This window comes from Homo sapiens, chromosome 1 (assembly GCF_000001405.40).
Source record: "Homo sapiens chromosome 1, GRCh38.p14 Primary Assembly".
NCBI lineage: Eukaryota > Metazoa > Chordata > Mammalia > Primates > Hominidae > Homo > Homo sapiens.
Window position 1 is genome coordinate 36,767,358 of NC_000001.11, and position 20,973 is coordinate 36,788,330.

Sequence of the window (20,973 nt, forward strand, 5' to 3'; positions counted from 1 at the left end):
AATGCTATCCCTCCCCACTCCCCCCACCCCACAACAGTCCCCAGAGTGTGATGTTCCCCTTCCTGTGTCCATGTGTTCTCATTGTTCAATTCCCATCTATGAGTGAGAACATGCGGTGTTTGGTTTTTTGTCCTTGCGATAGTTTACTGAGAATGATGATTTCCAATTTCATCCATGTCCCTACAAAGGACATGAACTCATCATTTTTTATGGCTGCATAGTATTCCGTGGTGTATATGTGCCACATTTTCTTAATCCAGTCTATCATTGTTGGACATTTGGCTTGGTTCCAAGTCTTTGCTATTGTGAATAGTGAAGAGGCCTCCTTTCTATCCACCCTTCAAGGCCACTGCAGCCGTACCTGCCTGTGAGCACCCATCCCCTGGGCCCAGGCTCCTTACATCCCCTGAACATAGGCAGCTCTTCCTGGACCCTCTTTTGGTCTTTAGAAGGGAGCCTTTTGTCTACAGCTAGTGACTACAGCGCTTCCGCCCCCCATGCCCAGATCTGAGATCCCAGACCTGGTTCTTTGTGGGGAGCGTCTTGGGAACCCACAGAAACTGCTAAGATTCCAATGATACAAATTCTGCAAAGGAAACTGGGGTTATAATTCAGGAATTTTTAGTTGAAGTGACTTAGAAATGTTCAATTTAATGAGATGTACACCCTCTAAAAAACTGGGAAATCGCAGTCGTGCCCAAGGACACACAAGTTCAAGGAAAATCCAGGCAGAACTGAGCAAGTAAGATTCTCACTAATCATCATTTGGTGCTTATTCATTTGTTTTATTCTCTCTGAGTAGTGAGAGACAAGGAGGACCTGGATGTTTAAAACAAAATTAAAAAGGGGAAAATCCTGAAATGGGAGAAAATTGTATCCACTCATTTTATTTTTTCCTGCAGATTTGGAAGAGACAGTGTCTATTGGGGGAAGCCTGGTGAGGGACAGATGGCATACTCAAGTGTTTATAAAGGTGAAGAGGGGGCAGGGGACCCCTGCAAGGTGATGGAAGGTGGTGGCAAGGGGTCATCACCACCCTGGCTCCAATAAGTGGTTTCTAGGATGCAGAGAACATGGCCGGGGCACATACACTGTGGCCAAAGTCTTCCTCTGATATCCTGGCCTGGAGCCTGGGGCTGTGCATAGGAGGACTGGACTAGAGGATGTATTGGGTTGCTTTGTCCTTGAAACCCCACTTTGTCTTCTCCCAAGTTTGCTGCAAGTCTCAGTGGGAAGGAAGGTGTCTGGGGCTTGCTGAAAGAGAAAAAATAATCTCTTGTGAGAGTCTTTGCAAACAGTCCTTGGGCACCCCAGCCAGGCTTGGCCTGGACACATACATGCACAGTGGACCGGCAGCTCTGCCATCCTTCAGGGCACAGGCGGGAGTTGGTCCTCGAGTTGGAAAGTGGCAGTTGGCACAACAAAGCTAGGGCCAGGCTGGGTGGAGGCCAGGGCTCCCTGATGGGTTTGCTTTCTTCCTGGTGATTACCCATTACCTCCCGTCAGTGGGTGATAAACTGTTATCACGGAATTATCCGCCACAGGCTCCAGCATCAGTATGAAATCCATTACTGTCCGTCAAGCCCTGTGGCTAATGGGAAAAACCTGGCAGCTGCCCGGTGTGCCAGGCGGGGCTCGGACTGATCCGTTATCTGTCTATTACTTCAGCAATCACACCTTATAATGGAATCTTGGACAGGAAATGACAAGAAGTCCCAGGATGTGTCGTTCCGACGGGCAACTGGTGGGTGAGGCTACCTGGTGGGCTCTGGAGTGTGGAGTGTGGCAGGGAGGTGAGTCAAAGGGTCAGCCCCATTGCCAGCCCCATGAGCTGCAGGGAAGACTTTTGCTTGTGGTCCATGAACAGGTTCCCAGTAAACAGCCAGACAAACATGTGGGTGGATAGGAGGCTGACTGGCTGGATGAATGAACGGATGGACAAAAATATAGATGAATGGATGGATAGATGGATGGACAAAAATATAGATGAATGGATGGATAGATGGATGGACAAAAGTATAGATGGATGAATGGATTGGTGAATACATAAACGGATGAACAGAAATATGGATGGATGGATGGATGGAATCTCAGGCCACATCCCAGGAGGCTGGGATCTGTGCCTTGCTCTGCTCCTACTAGCCCCCTCTTCCTAGGCTGAGTGCCTCTCTTGTCCAAATGCAGGGATCGACCAGTGTGGCAGCCTGGTGTGAGTGTGGGCACTGGAGTCAGACCTGTGTTTGAAGCCCAGCTCTCTAGCAGCGTAGCCTCAGACAACTGACTTCACCCTTTTCTGCCTCTATGAAGCGGGATGATACTAGAACAATATCACCTGGCTGATATTTGGTGCTACTGGATGGTGAGGGAGGCATCCGTGCTCTTGTCCCTCCCTGTTGATGACATCCAGTGATGTCATAGAGAGTATGTGCTCATTAAGTGCTTAAACACGGACCCTGAGGCATACTGCAACCTGAGCGTGGGCTAAGCACTTCTTTTCCCCAACCCTCTCATGCCTCATCTGTTAAAGGGGGCTGATGGTACGTACCTTGTGGTATGGTAGAGGGGTTTTTGTGAGATCCATCACCTCTCTGGCTTCATTTTCAGTCCTCTCCCTTGACTCACTCTGCTGCAGCCACAGTGGCCTCTTTGCTGTTCCCCAAACATGCCATGCTCACTCTTACATCAGGGCCTTTGCATTGGCCGTCCCCTCTACCTGGAAGGCCCTTCTCCAGATGTCCACACATTTGGCTCCTTCGGCGGATGCCGCTCTTCACCACATGTCCCCAATTCTACAAAGCCTTTCCCAGCCACCTGATCTAAAATTACAACCCTCCTCTCTATTTCCCATCCTGCTGCCCTGGTTGTTTTCCCCCTAGGCACTTACCACCCCATTTACATACTCTTCGCCTAGCTCCTCCCTCTAGCATGGAAGTTCCCAAGGGCAGGGAGTTTTGTCTCTTTGGTTTGCTGCTGTATCCCCAGCAACCTGGGCAACGTCTAGTTCATAGTAGATGCTCACTAAATATAAATGTGAGTGAATGAATGATAGTTAGATACGCATAACACAGTCTCCTCCCTCTGTATACCCTGAAATGTCAGGTTGAATTAATTCATGGAAGCAGAGGAGGTATCTTGGATGGGGAAGGATTGGGAAGGAGCTAAGCAACCAACTGGCTCAGCCAGGCCCTGAGGAGACTTCCAAACCCAATTAGCAGTTTTATTAAAGACAATAGGATTAGAAGTATTTGCAGCAAACGTTTACTTGGCTTGAGCTCTCTCTCTCCACCCCCCAGGGCAGTGCCTTGCTTCTCTGTCTCCCTGCTCAGGAGACAGGGCTCCCAGCAGGTCTGTGACTGGACCCAGAAGATGGGGGCTGGAGATCTGTAAGAATGGACTCTCCCTTCTCTTCTGTCGCCCCCCACTCCTACCTGCTGCCCTAGCAGGGGTCCCTCCCCTCAGAGCAAAAGTGGGAACTTCACACCCCTGGGCTTCTGCTCCCTGCAGGGGAAAATGCTGAGTACATTTCCGTAATCAAATTTCCTTTATGTTTACCCTCCTCTGGGCTTTTGCACTTGCTGTTCCCTCTCCCCAGCTCTTGGTGTGGCTGGTGCCTTCCCACCCTCTAGCTCTATGCCCAAATGTCACCTCTTTAGGGACACCCTCTCTGACTACCCTACCTCAAGGGGCCTACCAAAGTCACCTTGCTTATTTCTTTGGTAGCTCTTATCCAAGTGAAATGATCTTGTTTTGCATTTGCTGTACAAGTAAATGATCCTGACATCAACCTTGTCATGTTAATATGATATTACCCCCATTTTACTGATAGGGAAACAGAGGCACAGAGAGGTTATGAAGTAAATCTCTGAAGCCACACTACAGGCTGGGGGTGGAGCTGGGAGTAAACTGAAGTTCAGTAAATGCAAAGTTCCCGCTCTTTCCTTGCCATCGCAGGGAGTCTCTCCTTAATGAATGGAGGGTCCTGGGGTGACCTGCATTCACAACTCCTGTATGCACAGCCTCATTCAAACACAGAGAACACAAGAATCCCAGCTGGGGGGTGGGGGGTGGATGCGTAGCCCAGCAGGCCAGCCTCCACGCCCCCAGCCTGCTGACTGCTAAAAGCAGAGGTCAGCCTGTGGACCCAGGCATGGGAGGGACAGTCACAGGCTGCGTGTCCTCCAATCCTCAGCCCAGTGGGGCCAGGAGGCTTCACTACATCGGGCAGCAGTATATTCCCACCTGCTGCAGATATTAATTTGGAGTTTATAGAAAAATCCATACGTTGTGAGTTATCCAGGGCGGCGGTCGTGGGGAGAGGCACAAAATCAATAGTGAGAGATTGTCCTCTTTCATGGCTTCTGTAAACAGGGCTGCCTGGGCCACTCAGGGTAGGTACAAGCAGCCGGAGGTCAGTGGGCTTCCGGCCCTGTGTGGTGGCGCCTCTGGCTGCCAGCCCTCAGGAGACTCGTTTCGGCGCCTGCTGGGACTGATTTGTACTCTCGCTTGGCACTGTCAAAGGGCTCGGTAAATATTTATTAACACTTCTCCGCAGGTGATTGCGCCTTCTTGGCTGCAGCTCCTTGGGCATCAGACTGTGGCAGAGATGCTCCTTGCCATACCCCACAGCTTGCCTGTGTCACACAGCAAGGGGGCCCCCAGGGAGCGCAGAAAATGAGGTCCCAGCCCAGGGTGGAGGCAGTGGCTCCATCTTCAGGGAGGGCTCATGAGGTTTTTGTCAAGGAGTCAAAGTCGTGGCTGGGCAGATGCTGAGTCTGAGAGGACCTCACCCCCACCCCCAGTGACTGCTGGACTCACAGCTGGATCCACTTGCTTTCCTTTGCAAGCAGTGTCTCACTACTGGCCGGGATGAGAGGCGTTGGAGCAGCGCTGTCTAATAGAAATCTAATGTCAGCCCCAAATGCAATTTTAAAATTTTCTAGTAGCCACATCAAAAAAAGGAATGGGCCAGGCACGATGGCTCACGCCTGTAATCCCAGCACTTTGGGAGGCTGAGGTGGGTGGATCACCTGAGGTCAAGAGTTTGAGACCAGTCTGGCCAACATGGTGAAACCCCGTCTTTACTAAAAATACAAAGATTAGCTGGGCGTGGTGGCCGGCGCCTGCCATCCCAGCTGCTCGGGTGGCTGAGGCAGGAGAATTGCTTGAACCCAGGTAGCGGAGGTTGCAGTGAGCCGAGATCATGCCATTGCACTCCAGCCTAGGTGACAAGAGCGAAACTCCATCTCAAAAAAAAAAAAAAAAAAAAAAGGAACAGGTATAGTTAAGTTTAGTAACATCTTTTACTTAACCCAATAGATCCCAAATGACATCTCAATATGTAATCAAAATGAAAAGACATAAATGAGATATTTCACATTCTTTTTGTTATGCCAAACCTTTGAAATTGGGTGTGTGCTTTTATGTTTAGAGCACATTTAAATTTGCACTAGCCGCATTTCAAGCACTCAGCAGGCACAGCTGGCTACCACATTGGACAGCACAGTTCCAGAAGGCAATCTGGGCTTCATGTCTCTGCCCAGTACCAATACAGGGCCAGGTGCAGGGTGGGTAAGTGGGGCTGGATGGGTGGCCTGGCAGTGTTACCCACCAGATCTTTCCAGTTCTCTTGGGCACAGAGTAGGCTTGAACTTGCTCAGTCCCAGAAGGTGGGGGTGATCACATGACTTGCTTTGGCCAGGGAAGTAGGAGTGGACATAGTAGGTGAATCTTTAAGAGCCAGGGAGCAATTCACCATGCTTTCCTTCCCTCTGCCACAGGGACCAGCAACGATCCAGATGGTGGCTGTGCTCTGTCTGCGTGGGTCCCAGAGTGAGAAGCTGAGGTGCCGGCCTTGTTGAACAGGGAGGGCTGCTCTCTGCTCTGGAGATGGCACTGTGCTCTCATGTCCACATTGTGGAAGGCGGAAGGGCGAGAGAGGCTGGGTGACACCTCTTCTGTAAGGAGCTTAACGAGGGCTCTGCCCTCAGTACTTAATCATCTTTCTAAAGGCCCCACCTCTTAACACTATCACACTGGTGATTACGTTTCAACACATGAATTCTGGGGGGACACCATCATTCAAACCATAACACCAGGTATCACTTGCCCTGTCCACCTTCTGGGGCTGTGGGATGCCAACTCCGGGGTCGCTGGATCTCACAGCAGGCTCCAGGTATGTGGGGTGATGCCTAATGAGTGAGAAGTTTCCCTGAGTGGCTCTGGAACCACAGTGGGGCAAACAGAAGCTACTTAAAGTGCTGGCCATTTTATGCTGGCCCTTTCCCACGAATGCCTACTATTTGCTAAGGTCCTCAGAGTGCACACCTGAAAAAGTCACCTCTGTCTCTATAACTTTCAGGGGATGGGCTTTCCTTGGGTTCTTTGTATATTTCCCAACCACAGTCATCCTAGGACTTAGTGGGAGTCTGGGTAGACAGCACACCTGGGGAAGAATGGCTGAGGCCAAGCTAAAAGCTATATATCCACCATGATGGCTGTAGAATTATTTGTGATGACCCATCTGGAAGCAGCCCTCAGAACCATCAGTAAGGAGTGGAGGGTGCTTCAATGATGGGATCCTGCTCCATGGAACCTCTCCTACCCGGTGGATATGGCCATGATGGTTACTGAGCAGCCCTGGGAGGCCCCCGCCACAGCTGGCACTGAATGGCGTCAGTGCCCAATGACTGATGCAATCATACGAAATGTGCAGGGCAGCCAAAGGAACTCAAAAAAGGGAAGAGTGAAGAGCCAAGTGATTAGAAATGATTTTCTCTCTTTATCTAAAGAGTCTTTATTGTTTGTGGGGCAGGAGGAGTGATCATTTACCACCGCTCCGGTTCGCAGGGAGAAGCATTTCCACTGAAACATCCTCCAGACCTAGCTCTTCACTCGCTCACCCCCACCTCCCCTTGGGAAGAGGAGGAACTCCTCTGATTAGTGGGTTTGGGTGAAGGCACTGAACATGCTTAGCTCCTGCCCTGCCTCTCTCTGGGTTCTGCCTGCCTGCAGAAAATTCCCTGCATCTTTTTTCCACTAGCGGAGCGGGCTCTGCCCGGGCGAGGCAGATCTGCAGTTCCAGGGAGGAGGTTCTGTGTTCTCCTGTGCACCGAAGCTGGAGTTTTGATCTCCATTTGTCTGATTCTGGTGGGAAGTGAGGGATGTTATATTGGGCTTTCTTAAGCCTCATTGGTGTCAAAAATGTATCTTGCTAAAAAAGGAAATGGATGATATATATTTTTTAAGTCAGGGTTTTTGCAAAATGCTTCACTTCAGACGCAGTGTCCAGTGGGCGTTGCCCTCAGTGCTTCACCTGGGGGGCTCCACTGAATGCTGAGGGTGACCAGATCATGTCACAGTAAAAAGTAACTAAATGGCACAATAGGAAGTACCTGGATCTGGAAGAGGCTGGGTGGTGAGGCCCACATGTTACCCAGCCAGGAGGGCACCAGTCTGCCATTCACTACCGTGTGTCCTTGGACAAGATGCCTCAACAAATGTGGGGTGTGGACTTTGGAGTCAGACAGACCTGGGGGTGGTGTCTGACTTCCCCACTTAACGTGCGATCTTAGGAAAATCACTTAACCTCTCTGAGACTCAATTTCCCCATCTACCAAATGAGAGTAAGAAGCATTCTTCCTCCAGGGGTCCCAGGGTGCACATGATGGTGCTGAGCTTAGAGCACCATGACCTTTCACCGCTGGTGTACGGTGGGATGGATGGATGGAGGTAACCAAGAGATACCTATGGGCCTCGGAAAACTCTGGAAGTGCTGGAATTGGGCTATTTTCCCTTCCCCCTTGTCTCTTCTGTTCCTCATCTGTCTAATAACCTTTCAAAAACTCACCCCACCGCCCACCACAGAGGTAGGGAACATGTTCCATGGTCAATGTTCGACCCCCACCTCAGTGTTTTGGGCTGATTTCACGCCAACACGTCTTTGCATTTTGACTCCACCAGATTGAGCCTCTCTGTTTCACTGCAGAATTGTGGGTTTTTCTCATAAAGTGTTTACTGGGTATGTAAAATATAATCACAGCTTTATGAATATGAACTAGATTATTTTAATGATTGCAGGTAATTTAAAACTTAAGGACAATCACATTTTCCAGTTGTCTTTCAGTGCCTTAGAAACACGAGCGAGTGGTTCTGAACAGCCGCGGTCTTGCATGCCTGCCCCTCAGCAACGGCCCTGCTCCAAACCGGTGTTACAGTGATCTGATTATTGTAATTGATGACATTAGGAATAAGGAATCCACACAGAATAATACAGGTGCCTGTCATGCCAGAGTGGTTTTATTCATTGTTAGAGAAGTTCATAAAGTTGAAAGAAAGCATCTACATGGGCTAGAACAGCAAAAAGCATGTTTTAGTCCTTTCTTAATTTGTGAATAAAATGATGAATTCCAGAAGCCTATTTTCACTGACAATTGAAATCAGCCCTGTACACCCCTGCACCTGCTCTCTACCCCTGGGAGTTCTGCTCTGTCTTCCAGTCTCTGCGGGAAGCTCCCGCCCTGGCCAGCCCTAGGCTCCCTGCTGTCCCCAGGCCCCAGCTTCTGTTTATTCTTCCATGCTGGCCTCATGCAATTTCTCCCTTGGACCCTCTCCCCAGTCTGGCTGCAGAGCCAGTCCCTTTTGGGTGTGACCACTGATAATAGACATAGGGATCTGGAAACTGTCATTCATCTTTCTAGAAACCAGATTCTCTTTTTAGGGGGTAGCTGTAAACTCTATGGATTTCTGCTGTCCATTTTACAATTAAATATAGGATATCTATCATTTCTTGAGTGTGACAATGTGCAGGTGTGGTGTTTAACTGCACATAGATTAGCTAATGGAACGGCTTACAGCCACCTCATATTATTGATTTTCTTATTCCCATTTTACAGATAAGGACTCTGAGGCTCAGAGAGGCTACATTATTTGCCTAAGAAAGTACATTTTAGTTAGTGGCAGTGACAAGATTCCAGGTTTTGTGTGGCTCTTAATGGCTACAAAGTTGCTTTTCCTCAGAGAAGGGAGGGAGGAAGAAAGTGGGATGTGCATGCAGGAAAATGTGGGTGCAAAGGTGTAGAGACGTGGGATTTGGAGACGTTCCTGATAATTCTTGGAGGCTGTTTTTTTGCGGGGGAGTGGGAGGGGAATTGGAAGGCAGGTCCTTGGCTGAACAAGAGATAAGGAGTTAGTTGAGTGGCAGAATGCAGATTGGTGAAGAGGAAAGAGATTTTAAAATATGGAAGAGGAGAGGTGGAAGAGTTTATGGATCAGATGCACTTAGGAGGAGTTGAGAGTTCAGATGAGGGAGATGTCTAAGAATGAGGAGACTCTCCAGACCACATGGTTGCACGAGGTTGTGTGATGTCCTTTAGTCATGCGGGGGGCTGTGGAGATGGAGAAGAGGTGAGAGGTGAGAAGAGATGTGAGGCTGCCTCCTGGTCCTCACTGCAGTGCGGGCAGGCAGGGGTTTGGGGGGCGGGGTTGGGGAGCATAATTCATGCAGCCCCAGCCCATGGACTACAGGGGACTGCACCCAGGCTGCTCCCACACCCCCATCTTCACCTCTTGGGCCACCCAGAGGTGCACTTTGCAAGGTGACGCTGCAGATTCCCAGCTCAGGGACATGGTTAAGACAGGATGATTTTCCTCTCATTCCTGCTAATTTGCTGCTTCTGCTTAAGCTCATAAAAAGTTTCCTAGCAAAACCATTTCGGCCTGAGTTCCTGCTGGAGCCCGCTGAGCTGCTGTAATTAAGCTTTGATTAGCCGGCTATAAATTCCCTTTCGGAAGCCAGCATTGCCCTTGGAGGGCCCCAGCAGCGTGTTCGGTGCATGTCTGCCCCAGAACTTGGGTGATGATTCCCAGTGTCAATGGTCAATGAGCATTGTCAGGGATGGAGGCAGAGATCATCCTACTCAGTCTGACTGAGGTGGGCATGTGCAGGAAAAAGACCCAGGCCAACTCACTACCTCCCAGAAGTGGGACAATGATGGGCTGGGGTTCTGGAGGCAAAGGATGCTGGTATGAACAGTCCCTTTGGAAAGCCCTTCCTGGCTTCTGTTTTATAACTCCAAACAATAGGCCCTGCCAAATATATTTTTCTAACATCACAAGCTTGTTGCAAAGTCAGTTTTATGGATGCACTAAACCTGCCTTTTAAATTATCATCAAGTATAATAAAATGGCAGAAAATCATCAATTTTCCGAGAATGTGAGTAAAGTGAAAGTTAGTTACATGTTGGCATGTGGGCTGCAGTCCAGCTGTGTCTATAATCGGAATTAAGCCCTGCAAGCTTTGTGGGAACAGCTGTTTTCTGATGGAACAGCCAGGCTTATATTTTATTTGGAGGAGGTAAGGCCAGAACCTCAGAGAAGTGGCCCCTGCCTGGGAGAGGGAGAACTGAGGGCCTGCATGTCTGTAACTCACCCAGAGGCCACTGAGGAGGAACAAGAGGTTCTGAATGTTCCCCGACAAGGACCCACCTTCCACTCCAACCCCATCAAAACAACTTCCAGCTGAAAGCTAAGACAATCAAGATTCAGGATGAGCTGGACTATGCAGTGGGGAACAGACAGTAGTGTGCTACATGTGTTTAGTAACTGGCTCTCAAAAAAAAAAAAAAAAGCATGATGTGGCTGGGCACAGTGGCTCACACCTGTAATCTCAGCACTTTGGGAAGCTGAGGTGGGTGGATCACCTGAGGCCAGGAGTTTGAGACCAGCCTGACCAACATGGTGAAACCCTGTCTCTACTAAAAATACAAGTAATTAGCCAGGTGTGGTGGTGGGCGCCTGTAATCCCAGCTACTCAGGAGGCTGAGGCAGGAGAGTCGTTTGAACCCGGGAGGCAGAGGTTGCAGTGAGCCGAGATCATGCCATTGCACTCCAGCCTGGGCGACAGAGCGAGACTCCATCTGAAAATAAAGAAATAAAATAAAATAAAATAAAATAAAATATATATATCTCTCTTTAAAAAAGCATGATGTGTAGCATTTGCTAGGCTCCATGATGTAAATACTAACAATTTCAGAGTACCAAGGTTGGTGCCACCGAGTGGAGCTGGGAAGAGATACACAGCAGTGCACCATTGTGGTATTTCCACCATACAAATTCAGTAGACATAAATAACGTACAGGAGCATCGACGAGCGCAAAATATAGCACAATAATTAAGACATGATGAGTTTGAGCATTCATTACCTTTGTTTCAATATAATTTATTTAACTGTAAGTTAATATAATTTAATTTTTAATAATAGCTGTGTCTGGCTGTGTTTAACAGCTGGCTTGCACATTCTTGAAAAATTAACGATGGACTCTTACGAGCCTGCACCTGCAACCACTGGCACAGGTCTGGGAGTGTCCCGCCAGATCACAAAGTCTCCCAAGGCAGGACCACCTCTGTCTAGCTCACTGCTGGATCCTTTTCACCCAGCTCAGTGTTCAGCGCTCAATAAATATTTCTTGAGTTTATGAATAACAGGTGGCAGGAAATGTCCTTTTACAATAGTGTTCTCCAGGGGCTGGACTGATTCAAAGCCAAACAGTTCAGCCCCGCCACTGCCTGGATCCGCCAGGGACACCGCCAGGGACACCACCAGGTCATCCTGGAGAAGGGAAGGGGAGGGAAAGAGAAGGGGAGGGGAGGGAAGGGGGAAGGGAAGAATAGCCAAGAGGAGGGACAGAAATAGATACAGAAGGCCAGCACCTTGACTTTAGCCCCATGAAGCTGATTTTGGACTTTTGGTCTCCGGAATGATAAGAAGATCAATTTGAGTTTTATTTTTTTAGAGGAAGGAATACATCCCAAGTCATTAAAATGTGTGTTATTTTAAAGCCACTAAATTTGTGATAATCTGTTACAACGGCAATAGGAAACTAACACACCTCCTGAGATACACACCCAGCTTCTCACCACCATGTTCCCTCTGACTCTCTGACCTGCCAAGCCTCTCCTCCAACAGCTGACCTCCAGGAGTCCCATCTAGGCTCTAACTTCCAACTCTCACCTCCAGTCCTGACCTCTCAGGGTTCACGCTAATCTTTGACACCTTGAGTCTCCTCTCTGACGCCATATCCCTGATACTCACCTCCTATCTCTCAGCTCCTGAGGCTGACTTCCAAACTCCAATCCGCACTGCTCACCTCCAGCTTCTCACTCCTCAAAGTCCCCCCTCCAACATCTGGTCTTCTAGCCTCCCGCTTCCTCAGTCCTTGGGACCTCTCCCACTTAGACCTCCAGATAGGCCCCCTATAGCCCAGCACATGCAGTGAGAGGTCAGGTGCCTTTGGGATGGCTTTGCTTGCCTGTGTTTATTTATATTTATTTATTTATTTTTAACTTATATTCAGGGTATGTGTGTAGGTTTGTTACATAGGTAAACTCCTGTCATGGGGGGTTTGTTGTACAGATCATTTCATCACCCAGGTACTAAGCTTAGTACCCAATAGTTATCGTTTCTTTTCCTCTCCCTCCTCCCACTCTTTACCCTCAAGTAGGCCCCAGTGCCTGTCGTTTCCCTCTTTGTGTTCATGAGTTCTCATCATTTAGCTACCACTTATAAGTGAGAACATGTGGTATTTGGTTTTCTGTTCCTGTATTAGTTTGCTGAGGATAATGGCCTCCAGCTCCATCCATGTCCCTGCAAAGGACATGAACTCGCTCCTCTTTTTATGGCTGCATAGTATTCCATGGTGTAAATGTACCACATTTTCTTTATCCAGTCTGTCACTGATGGGCATTTCTGAGAAGTGCAGAGGTGATAAGAGTGCGCAGAATTGTCGGCGTGTGGGGATTAGCAGGCCGGCATGTTTCCTCCTGCAGGCAGCCCTGCTTCTCAGCGCTCAGAGACATAAGGCATTTCAGGAGAAGCATCGTCTCTTAAGACTTTGGCAAGGTGAGGCCTTTCAGTATCCATGGATGCCACCTGTCAGCAGGAACCCCTAGCTGATTAAGAACCCAGCCCCATGGGTTATCTAGGTTGATTCCATGTCTTTGCTATTATGAATAGTGCTGCGATGAACATTCACGTGCGTGTGTCTTTGTGTCCTTACGGTAGAATGATTTATATTCCTCTGGGTATACACCCTGTAGTGGCATTGCTGGGTCATTCCCCCTGTTTTATATGGTCCAGTAGCTGCAACCACACAATGGCAGAGCAACCGGCTGAAGAGGGCAGAGTTCTACATTATCATCAACTGGGAGAAAAGAACTGGCTTGTTTTGACAATATACTTTAATACATTCAACCAAGTAGTCAATAAATATTGAACTGAATTGACCTGAATAATCTAATAATAATCAAAGCTACTGTTTATTGAGGATTTATTATGAGTCTGGCACTTTAGCTACATTTTTCTTCTAATTCCTATAGTTACCTCTGGGAGAAGAAGTACTATTATTTCTCTCATATTATGGGTGAGAAAATTGAAGTTCAGAGAGGCCAAGGGAATTACCCAAGGACACACAGCCAGAAGGTGGTAGAGCTGGGATTTGAACCAGTGTGGTCCAGGGCTCAAGTTCTAACCATACTCTTAATGATTTCTTTTCATTCAAGCCTCAGTTTCCCCAGCTGTAGAAGGGGGATCATGGCAGTACCAACCTCACAGACTGGTGTGGTGGTAACTGCAGAATTTCTCTGGGGTTCTTGAAATGCCAGTAGAGCAGTTGGCCCCTGATGGCAGGCCCCAGCCCGGGCTGGGCACTGGTCACTCTGGTTCCTCAGGGACCCTGCTCCTTTTGTGCGGAGCCTATCATTCCTAGAGAGCAGCCACTCTTTTCCCATGGCCTTCCCTGGGTTTCCTTTTAACGGCTGCTCCGTGCCTGGACGATGCTTTTCCTGAAATGCCTTATGTCTCTGAGAGCCGCGGAGCAGGGCTGCCTGCAGGAGGAAATGTGCCGGCCTGCTAATCCCCACACGCTGACAATTCTGCACACTCTTGCCGCCTCTGCACTTCTCAGAAATGCTTTTTAAGTGGCAGATGCAGCTTATATTTCCCCTGTGCCAACAGGAGCACTTGCTGCCAACACTGACGGCCGCCCTCAGACCTGGAGACAGCCTCATGAGTCCTGGGAGATGCAAATGCTTAGGGTATCTTGGGATGGGGTGGGGCTGGGTTCTAGAGCAGCTAGGGGTCCCTGCTGACCACAGGTGGCATCCATGGATACCGAAAGGGCACACCTCCGCCAAAGTCTCCCCTATCCCAGTCCTGACGTGGTGCTTACATTTCCCCATCAGTGCCCTTAGGATAAAGGGCCTAGCTCCAGAAGGCCCTTATTAGAATACAAATGTCCTATCTAAAATGAATGAGACATTAGTAAAGCAGGGCCTGGCTTCCTTAGGGACCTCTCAGGACTGCGAACACCATGAGTCCCCCTGAGGGAGGTGCGGAAACAGGGTTCCTAGCAGTGCTGGCTTGAAATCAGAGGTAACCCAGGGTGTAGCCTGATCTGCCTCCTACCAGCTGGGTGACCTTGGGCCGGGATCTTAACCCTTGTTTCACTTTAAAATGAAGCAAATGATGGAATCTATCTTAAAGGGTGTTGGGGGGATTAAATGGGAGAATGCACCTCAAATGCTTAGTACAGTGCCTGCCTCTTAGTAAGGGACCAATAACAGACAGTCATCTGAGATCCTGAGGACACCAAGCTCCAGAGCCCAAAACTCCCGGGCCCCAGGCCCCGTCGGCTCAGGACAGGGTGGTCTCTCTGCTCCTGCTCCTTTCTCTTACCTCTAAACCCAGCTCAGGGTGAACGTTCCCGGTTGGATATGGGCTCATTGGTTATTCCGGTCCTCTTCTGAGCTTGCAGACTGCCCCTCTGTCCTCCTGCCTGGATCCCTCTCCCCTGTGCTTCCCTCATCCCTGGGCCAGCTCGAGCCTGCATCCACACTCCTTGCCCTTGCCCATCAGTTCCTGACTCTCCTAGTACCTGCATCTCCCACCTGGGGCCTAGGGATGTGGATTCACATTCCACCTGCCTGAGGCCCTGGGAGCTGCCGAGTGTCAATTTTCTTAGGCAGTCCTCGAACATATGAGGTGGAAACTGCCCCAGGGATCTTCAGGCTCAGCCCCCTCACTGAGCAGAGGGGGTGCTCTGAGTGCTCAGAAAGAGAAGGGACTTCCCAAGGCCCTGCAAAGTGCCAGGGGGTAGTACCCATATTCTCTGGCAGGGGACATAGTTCTGGGGTTAGACAGGGAGGATATCCTAGAGGGACCTTTAACTTCAGGAGAAGCTCCCAGTGAATTGTGGGGATCTGTTGACTCTTCAGGGACCCTGTTTCTGACAGTCCTCTTTCCTGGTTGTCCACGTAAGAAGCTCTGCCTTTATTATCCCAGCTAGCCTCTGAGGAAATAAAAATATTTCACTTCTTTGACATGGTTTTTGCACTGTTTTGCTTTTACAATCATTCCCTTTTAAATGCATTTAGTTTTAAGCTCCTCAAATCCTGTTTAAGTACATGGGGATAAGACTTCAATGAATAAAGCAATAAACAGAAATAAAAAGAGTTGTGAATTTCCTCTTCTTTGCTCAGTCCCTCTCTCCATGAAGCTGGTACCAAACGCCCCTCCTGACTCACAGTAGCTCAGGGCCATTCCCCACAAGGCAGGGGTTCAAAGTTCACCCAACAGCTAGAAGCTCAGTGTCTGGGTGTGAGGCCTGTCTGCCTACTCAGCCTGGGCCAGTCCCAGGTCATGGCCGGGTTCCAGGGCCACCCCTAGACCTTAGACTCTATTTCTTGGAGCCCTGCTTGGTGTCTGTCTTAGGTTCTCTAGAAGCAGAGCCTGAGAAGGGGACTTAGGTGCCCAAAGTGTGTTGAAGGAATGTGTTGCTTTCAGAAGGAAAGTGAGGGATCAGGATAAGACTGGGGCAAAAGCTGAGTGAGCAAGGATGAGGTCTCATCTGGGCAGGTGGTAGCTTCAGGCAAAGTACCACAGACTTGGTCCCATCTTAAGAAAAGGGGATGGCCTTTTTCTGACCACGTCATAGGTTACTGGCTGTGACCTGCTCTGGGTGCTAGAAAATGAGAATCTTAACCTCATGGGTAAGAAGGCACCTGAGAAGGGGACAACTGGGAGCCATGAACAGCCAACATTCCCAGCAGTGGAAAGACACGTGCACCATGGAATCAAAGGGGTCTGGGTGGGGAATCTCCTTTGTCCACTGCAGTGGCCCAGGATCTCCAGAATGGGCCTCTGCCTTCCTCCACCAGGCTTACCCACTGGGGGCCAAACCCCAAGGGGATGAACATTTCGGATCCACCTCACTGCACTTTTATAAGCTCACAGGGCAGGGCTTCTGAGCGCTTCTTTGCTGAGGAAGCTCAGAGAGGTTGAGCAATGAATCCAATGTCACACAGCTGTTGAGTGGTAGAACCAGGGTTCAAATCTAATTTCCAAAGCCCCTGCTGGCCCCGTGTTCTTGTCCCTGTGTCTGTTAGTCCTCCCAGACTCCACTTTCAGGGACCCTCATTATCTCCTGCCCAACTGCTCAGCATCCTCTACAGTTTCCCCTAGGGCTGATGGTTCCACTTGATATATTGTCCTCACCCACGGAAGTCACTCATTTCTGGCTTCTGGTTCTCTGCCCTTCCCCCCACACAGCTACACCTATCTGTCCCCCACCCCCCTGGTCCTGCCTACCCCACCTTCAGGGGCCCGAGTTCTGGCAGGAGCTGGACATACATGACTTGCCCACAAATTACGTCTCGCAGGGAGCCTGGTTCCACCACCACTGCCTGTGCTGACACCTCCATCAACACAGATCCTCCTTAAGACAACAGACATTTATCCCTGACAGTCAGAGGCACAATTGCAATCAGATGCTGGAGACCTGAATTCTGGGTTGTCACTGAGTTGATGACGGCCCTTCAGTCAGAGGAAAGGGGCTGGAGGAGAGTAGGGGAGGACTTTAGAAATAGTCTGTCTTCTGTAAGGAGCTATTTCCCCTGGGCCACGGCTGGGCTTCAGCTGATGGGCAGTGGGGGCCTGTGTTTCCTCTGCCGCTCTTTGGGAGGAGACATGACAGAATTGAAGGAGAAAATAGGAAAATTGCCAGCAGGGTGTGAGTTGGCTCTGGGTCCAGGAAGATGAAGTGGATGTGGGTGCAGGAAAGGGCCTGTAACCACGCGTACGGAGGAAGACATCACTAGTGCTTACCAGGATCTTGCTGTCTTCTCCCTCCTGGGCACAGGGAAGATGCACTCCTACTTCCACTTGCAACTAAGTGGAGTCACATGTCTAGCCCTGGCCTCTGAAATGTGGCTGGAAGGAATGTGTGTGGCTTCTAGGCTGAGGCAGCAAAAAGCACTGATATGATTCTCCAGCCCTTTTATTCCTCAGCTGAGGCAATTATGAGAAGACCTCTTGCTGAGATGATGGAATCACAAGATCAGAGCAGCCTAAATCACTGATTTTCACAATGGACGACAGCTGACACACGGAGGAATCAAAGTGCAGAAGAAATAAAGTTCGCTGTGTAAAGCACCAAGACACTGGGGCTTGTTGTCACAGCATGGCCTGCCCTATGCTAACTAATACAATTGCCGTTCATTGATCATTTACTATGTGCCAAGTGTAGTGCTGTATGCTTTCCATGTATCATCTCACTAGATCCTTGCAGCAGCCTTCCATGCAGGACCTCCTATTAACTGCATTTTACAGATGAGGAAACTGAGGCTTAGAGGGATTAAGTAACTTCCACAAGTCAGACAACTAGCAGGTGGCAGAGCTGGAAGTCAGGCCTGTGTCCTGAGCCGTAATTCTTAACACACAAACTCTAAAGAGGCCACCTTGGGTTTTCTGCCCTTATTGGGCTCCTGGTGCCAGGGCTTGGTAGGACACACAGGAGCATGTGAAAGCGATCCCCAGTGTGTTCCAAATGTCAGTGGAGTCAATCCCTGAGTTGTGCTTAGTCCAGTGGGTGGGAGTCAGTCATGAGCCACGAGCACACCACTTTCTGCTCCTGTGGGGCTCATAGTCTGGAGGAGGGACTGGCTAAGCAAATGTCGAGGTTGAAATGAGTATTGGGTGGGGTGTGTGTCCCCGTGTGGGTGCATGCATGAGCAAGAATTTGATAGAATGGGTTCAGCAAGGAGGCTGGCCAGGTGGGTTTAGCAAGGAGCCTGGCATGCTGATGAGGAGGGAGGAGGGTATGTACCAGGCCAGAGAGAGAGAATGGAGCCCCATCCCCATCCTCTCTAGAGAGAAGTAGAGATGTTAGGTTGAATGGGCGCATGGGTCTGCCCTCCACTCATCCAAAGCCCTCCTGCTCTCAAGCTCCATCCTTCCCAAGAGGATCCCCTACCCCCTGCTTTCTGTTGAGGAGGCAGGAGACTGCATCTCAGGGGACCTCTTCCTGTTTCAGGGTTGCAGAGTGGAGCTACAGGAACAGGCGAATGGTCCCAGGAAGCAGAGTGATGAACTCCTTCGTGGACTATGGTCCTGTCCCCACTCCAGGGGTCAGGCTACCTGCTCAGAAGGCAGGGAGCAGCTTTGTTTGGCTTAGTTTTAGCTTTTGCAGAGTCCAAGGGCTGAGTCCTGAGCTGGACATAAGACGGCATGTAGACTAGAAAGAGGCAGACAAGCGTGAGTCCAAATCCAGCTTTTACCACTTCCCCATGAGTGACCTTGAACAAATCTCATTCTGTTTATCAGTATTCTCATCTGATCAATGGAAACAACCACCTTTCCCTCGAAGGCCACTTATGAGGACTAAATGGCACACAGGAAGATCCTCTCCCTCCCTCCAACAGCCCCTGGAGGATGGAAGGCAGACCATGGGTCCTCTCTGACTTGGGAGCCCTCCTCGAATCCTTCTCTGGGCCATGGACAGAGGCCTGAGAGGGCTACCAGAGGCCCTGCTGTAGGTGGCCCTGCCTTCATCTGGAAAGGAAAGATCATCTTGAACATAAAACTGCCCTAACTTCTCCCAGCATCACGTCCCTGGAGGGAGTTTTCAGGCCGAGTAATGTATGGCTCCATTTTTAGATGTTGCCGAATTCCATTTGCTGGAGATCTGTGTTTTATTGCCGTATCAGTGTTTCTAAATTGCACTATATTTTCTTAGCTTGATGGGAATTTACAGCAACTGGATTGGAGCAGAACTGGGCTCTCCCCGAGGCTGGGAAATCACTGGGGTCGACTGCTATTGCTGCTGCCTCCCCCTCTGATTGTTTCTTCTAATTATTCTTATTAGGAAGGGATCTGAATCTGAGACTAGAGGCCTGGGAGGCCCACATGGTGAGACATCCATCAGGGCTGGGAGGTCTGGGGCTGCTCTCTGTGGGGAGTTGGGCCACCCGGGAGGAGGTGGGAGGGCTGTGGTGGAGGTGCTTGGGCAGAGATGACTTCCAGGACTGGGAGTTGAGGGAGGCCCAGCCAGCCGCCAGCCTTGGGATTGGTGTATCCAGGGAACACTAGACATGAGGTTGATTGCCACAGTAATGGGAACCACAACGCTGCATGTCAGAACATCCCTTAGTGGCCCCACAGCCTTTTATGCCTTCTTGATTCTCCCGTGAGGAAAAGAGGACAGGGAATACCAACCCCATTTTCCAGATGAGGAAACTGAAAGCCTAGGGAGTTAAGTCACATGGTAGAGCTAAGGTTAAAACCTGGGGCTGTTTGAATCCAAACTGGTGTTTACTCTCACCCCCACACTGGTGGATTTTTGTTCCCTCTCCATTTCCACACTGGAGACTTAGGCAGGGTGCTCTCATTTATGGAGCCCTCACTATGCATCAGGCACTGCGCTATAAGTTCCAGGCATTGTCTAATTTCACCCTCCTACAGGTGGGGGGTACTCAGCCCCTTTTATGGAGTAGCCCCAGGACGTTAAGGCACTTTTGCAAGGTCAGAGAGTGACTCCTAAGCGACAAAGATGAAATTCCATCTTAGCCACCATGCTCTACTGCTTCTAAAGACACCAGCTCTTCCAATTTCTGCTGATGTAGGAATGAGCTGCCTGGCTGTGGGGTGGGAGTCCCGATGCATTCTGGGAGTCAGGTGGTGCCTGTCTGGTGCTGGGCATCCACCAGGCTGCGGGTTTGCCCCATGAAGGCTGGGTGCTCAGGCTGCACCTGCATTTGAAAGATACCGTTTCCCTGGCTCCAGCCTCCCAGGGTGACACGGTACCACCCAGGGCATTGGACAGAGAGAGGAGAGAGTCCCAGGAACACAGCTGGGGATTGCAGGAAGTTCTGGCCCATCCCGCTGGCAGGTCCAGGCAGTTTATCTCACTTGGCAGCGATCCTCTGTCTAAAAGCACGTCTGACGCTTTGTGCAATAAAGTTAATGGACTTCTCCATCTTAGAGCAGCTGAATTCTCTTGGAGCAGATGCTGAGGGTTATGGATGTTCTAATTAGGAAGCTGCCTTTGGCACTGAGGAAGGGAGGGGAGGCTTGTGATGTTCCACACGCCCTGCAAAGACCCCCTGCCAAACTGCTTTCCCTGAGCCTGCCAGTGCGGACACGCTGTGGCAGAGGAAGGAGGAGAAAACATTTCCTTCCTCTCCCATCTTCCACTTCCCTTCTAGTACCAATGGTCCTCCGCACTGAGCCGGAAGTGACCAGGGGGTCCAGGCAGTGTGACCATAGCCTCCCAGGTCTGAGCAACCACAAGCAGAGTTAGGGTTGTGATCAAATAAAACTCACAACCAAGTTAATCCGACACATTTATTGATGTGCATAATTGTTATTGGACTGCACTGCAATTAGGCATAAATGGTAGGTCGTTCCTATGAGTGACTATAATTAGTAATTCTCGGTTTTGGCCCAATCAAGTTTGGATGTTTGTTTTCCATAAGCACAGACGTTCCCCAGTGTCTGTAAACAGCATTGATATTGACTGTTTTCTGATTCACTCATTCATTTGTTCATTTCCCAAATCTATGAAACAGAGGTCCCAGACTGGAGCCCTCATTTTGTTGCTTACTGGGTGATTGTGGGAGAGTAATTCCACTTCTTTCAGCCTTGGT

General features: G+C 49.7%; 1 long non-coding RNA gene across 1 annotated transcript, besides 1 other annotated feature; it reads right to left on the bottom strand.

Annotated features, from left to right (window-relative positions):
• Positions 1–861: 861 nt before the first annotated feature.
• On the bottom strand, positions 862–2,368 carry LOC124904023 (uncharacterized). The gene is made up of 2 exons (XR_007065840.1): positions 1,338–2,368; positions 862–1,254 (listed from the first exon to the last, which is right to left on the bottom strand). It is a non-coding gene; the product is annotated as an uncharacterized LOC124904023 (long non-coding RNA).
• Positions 2,928–3,527: an enhancer, noted in NCBI's record as "NANOG-H3K27ac hESC enhancer chr1:37235886-37236485 (GRCh37/hg19 assembly coordinates)". NCBI's record gives its function as "activates a minimal SCP1, AML or CMV promoter by ChIP-STARR-seq in primed H9 embryonic stem cells {active_cell/tissue: H9 hESC(primed)}" and the evidence as "EXISTENCE:reporter gene assay evidence [ECO:0000049][PMID:30033119]".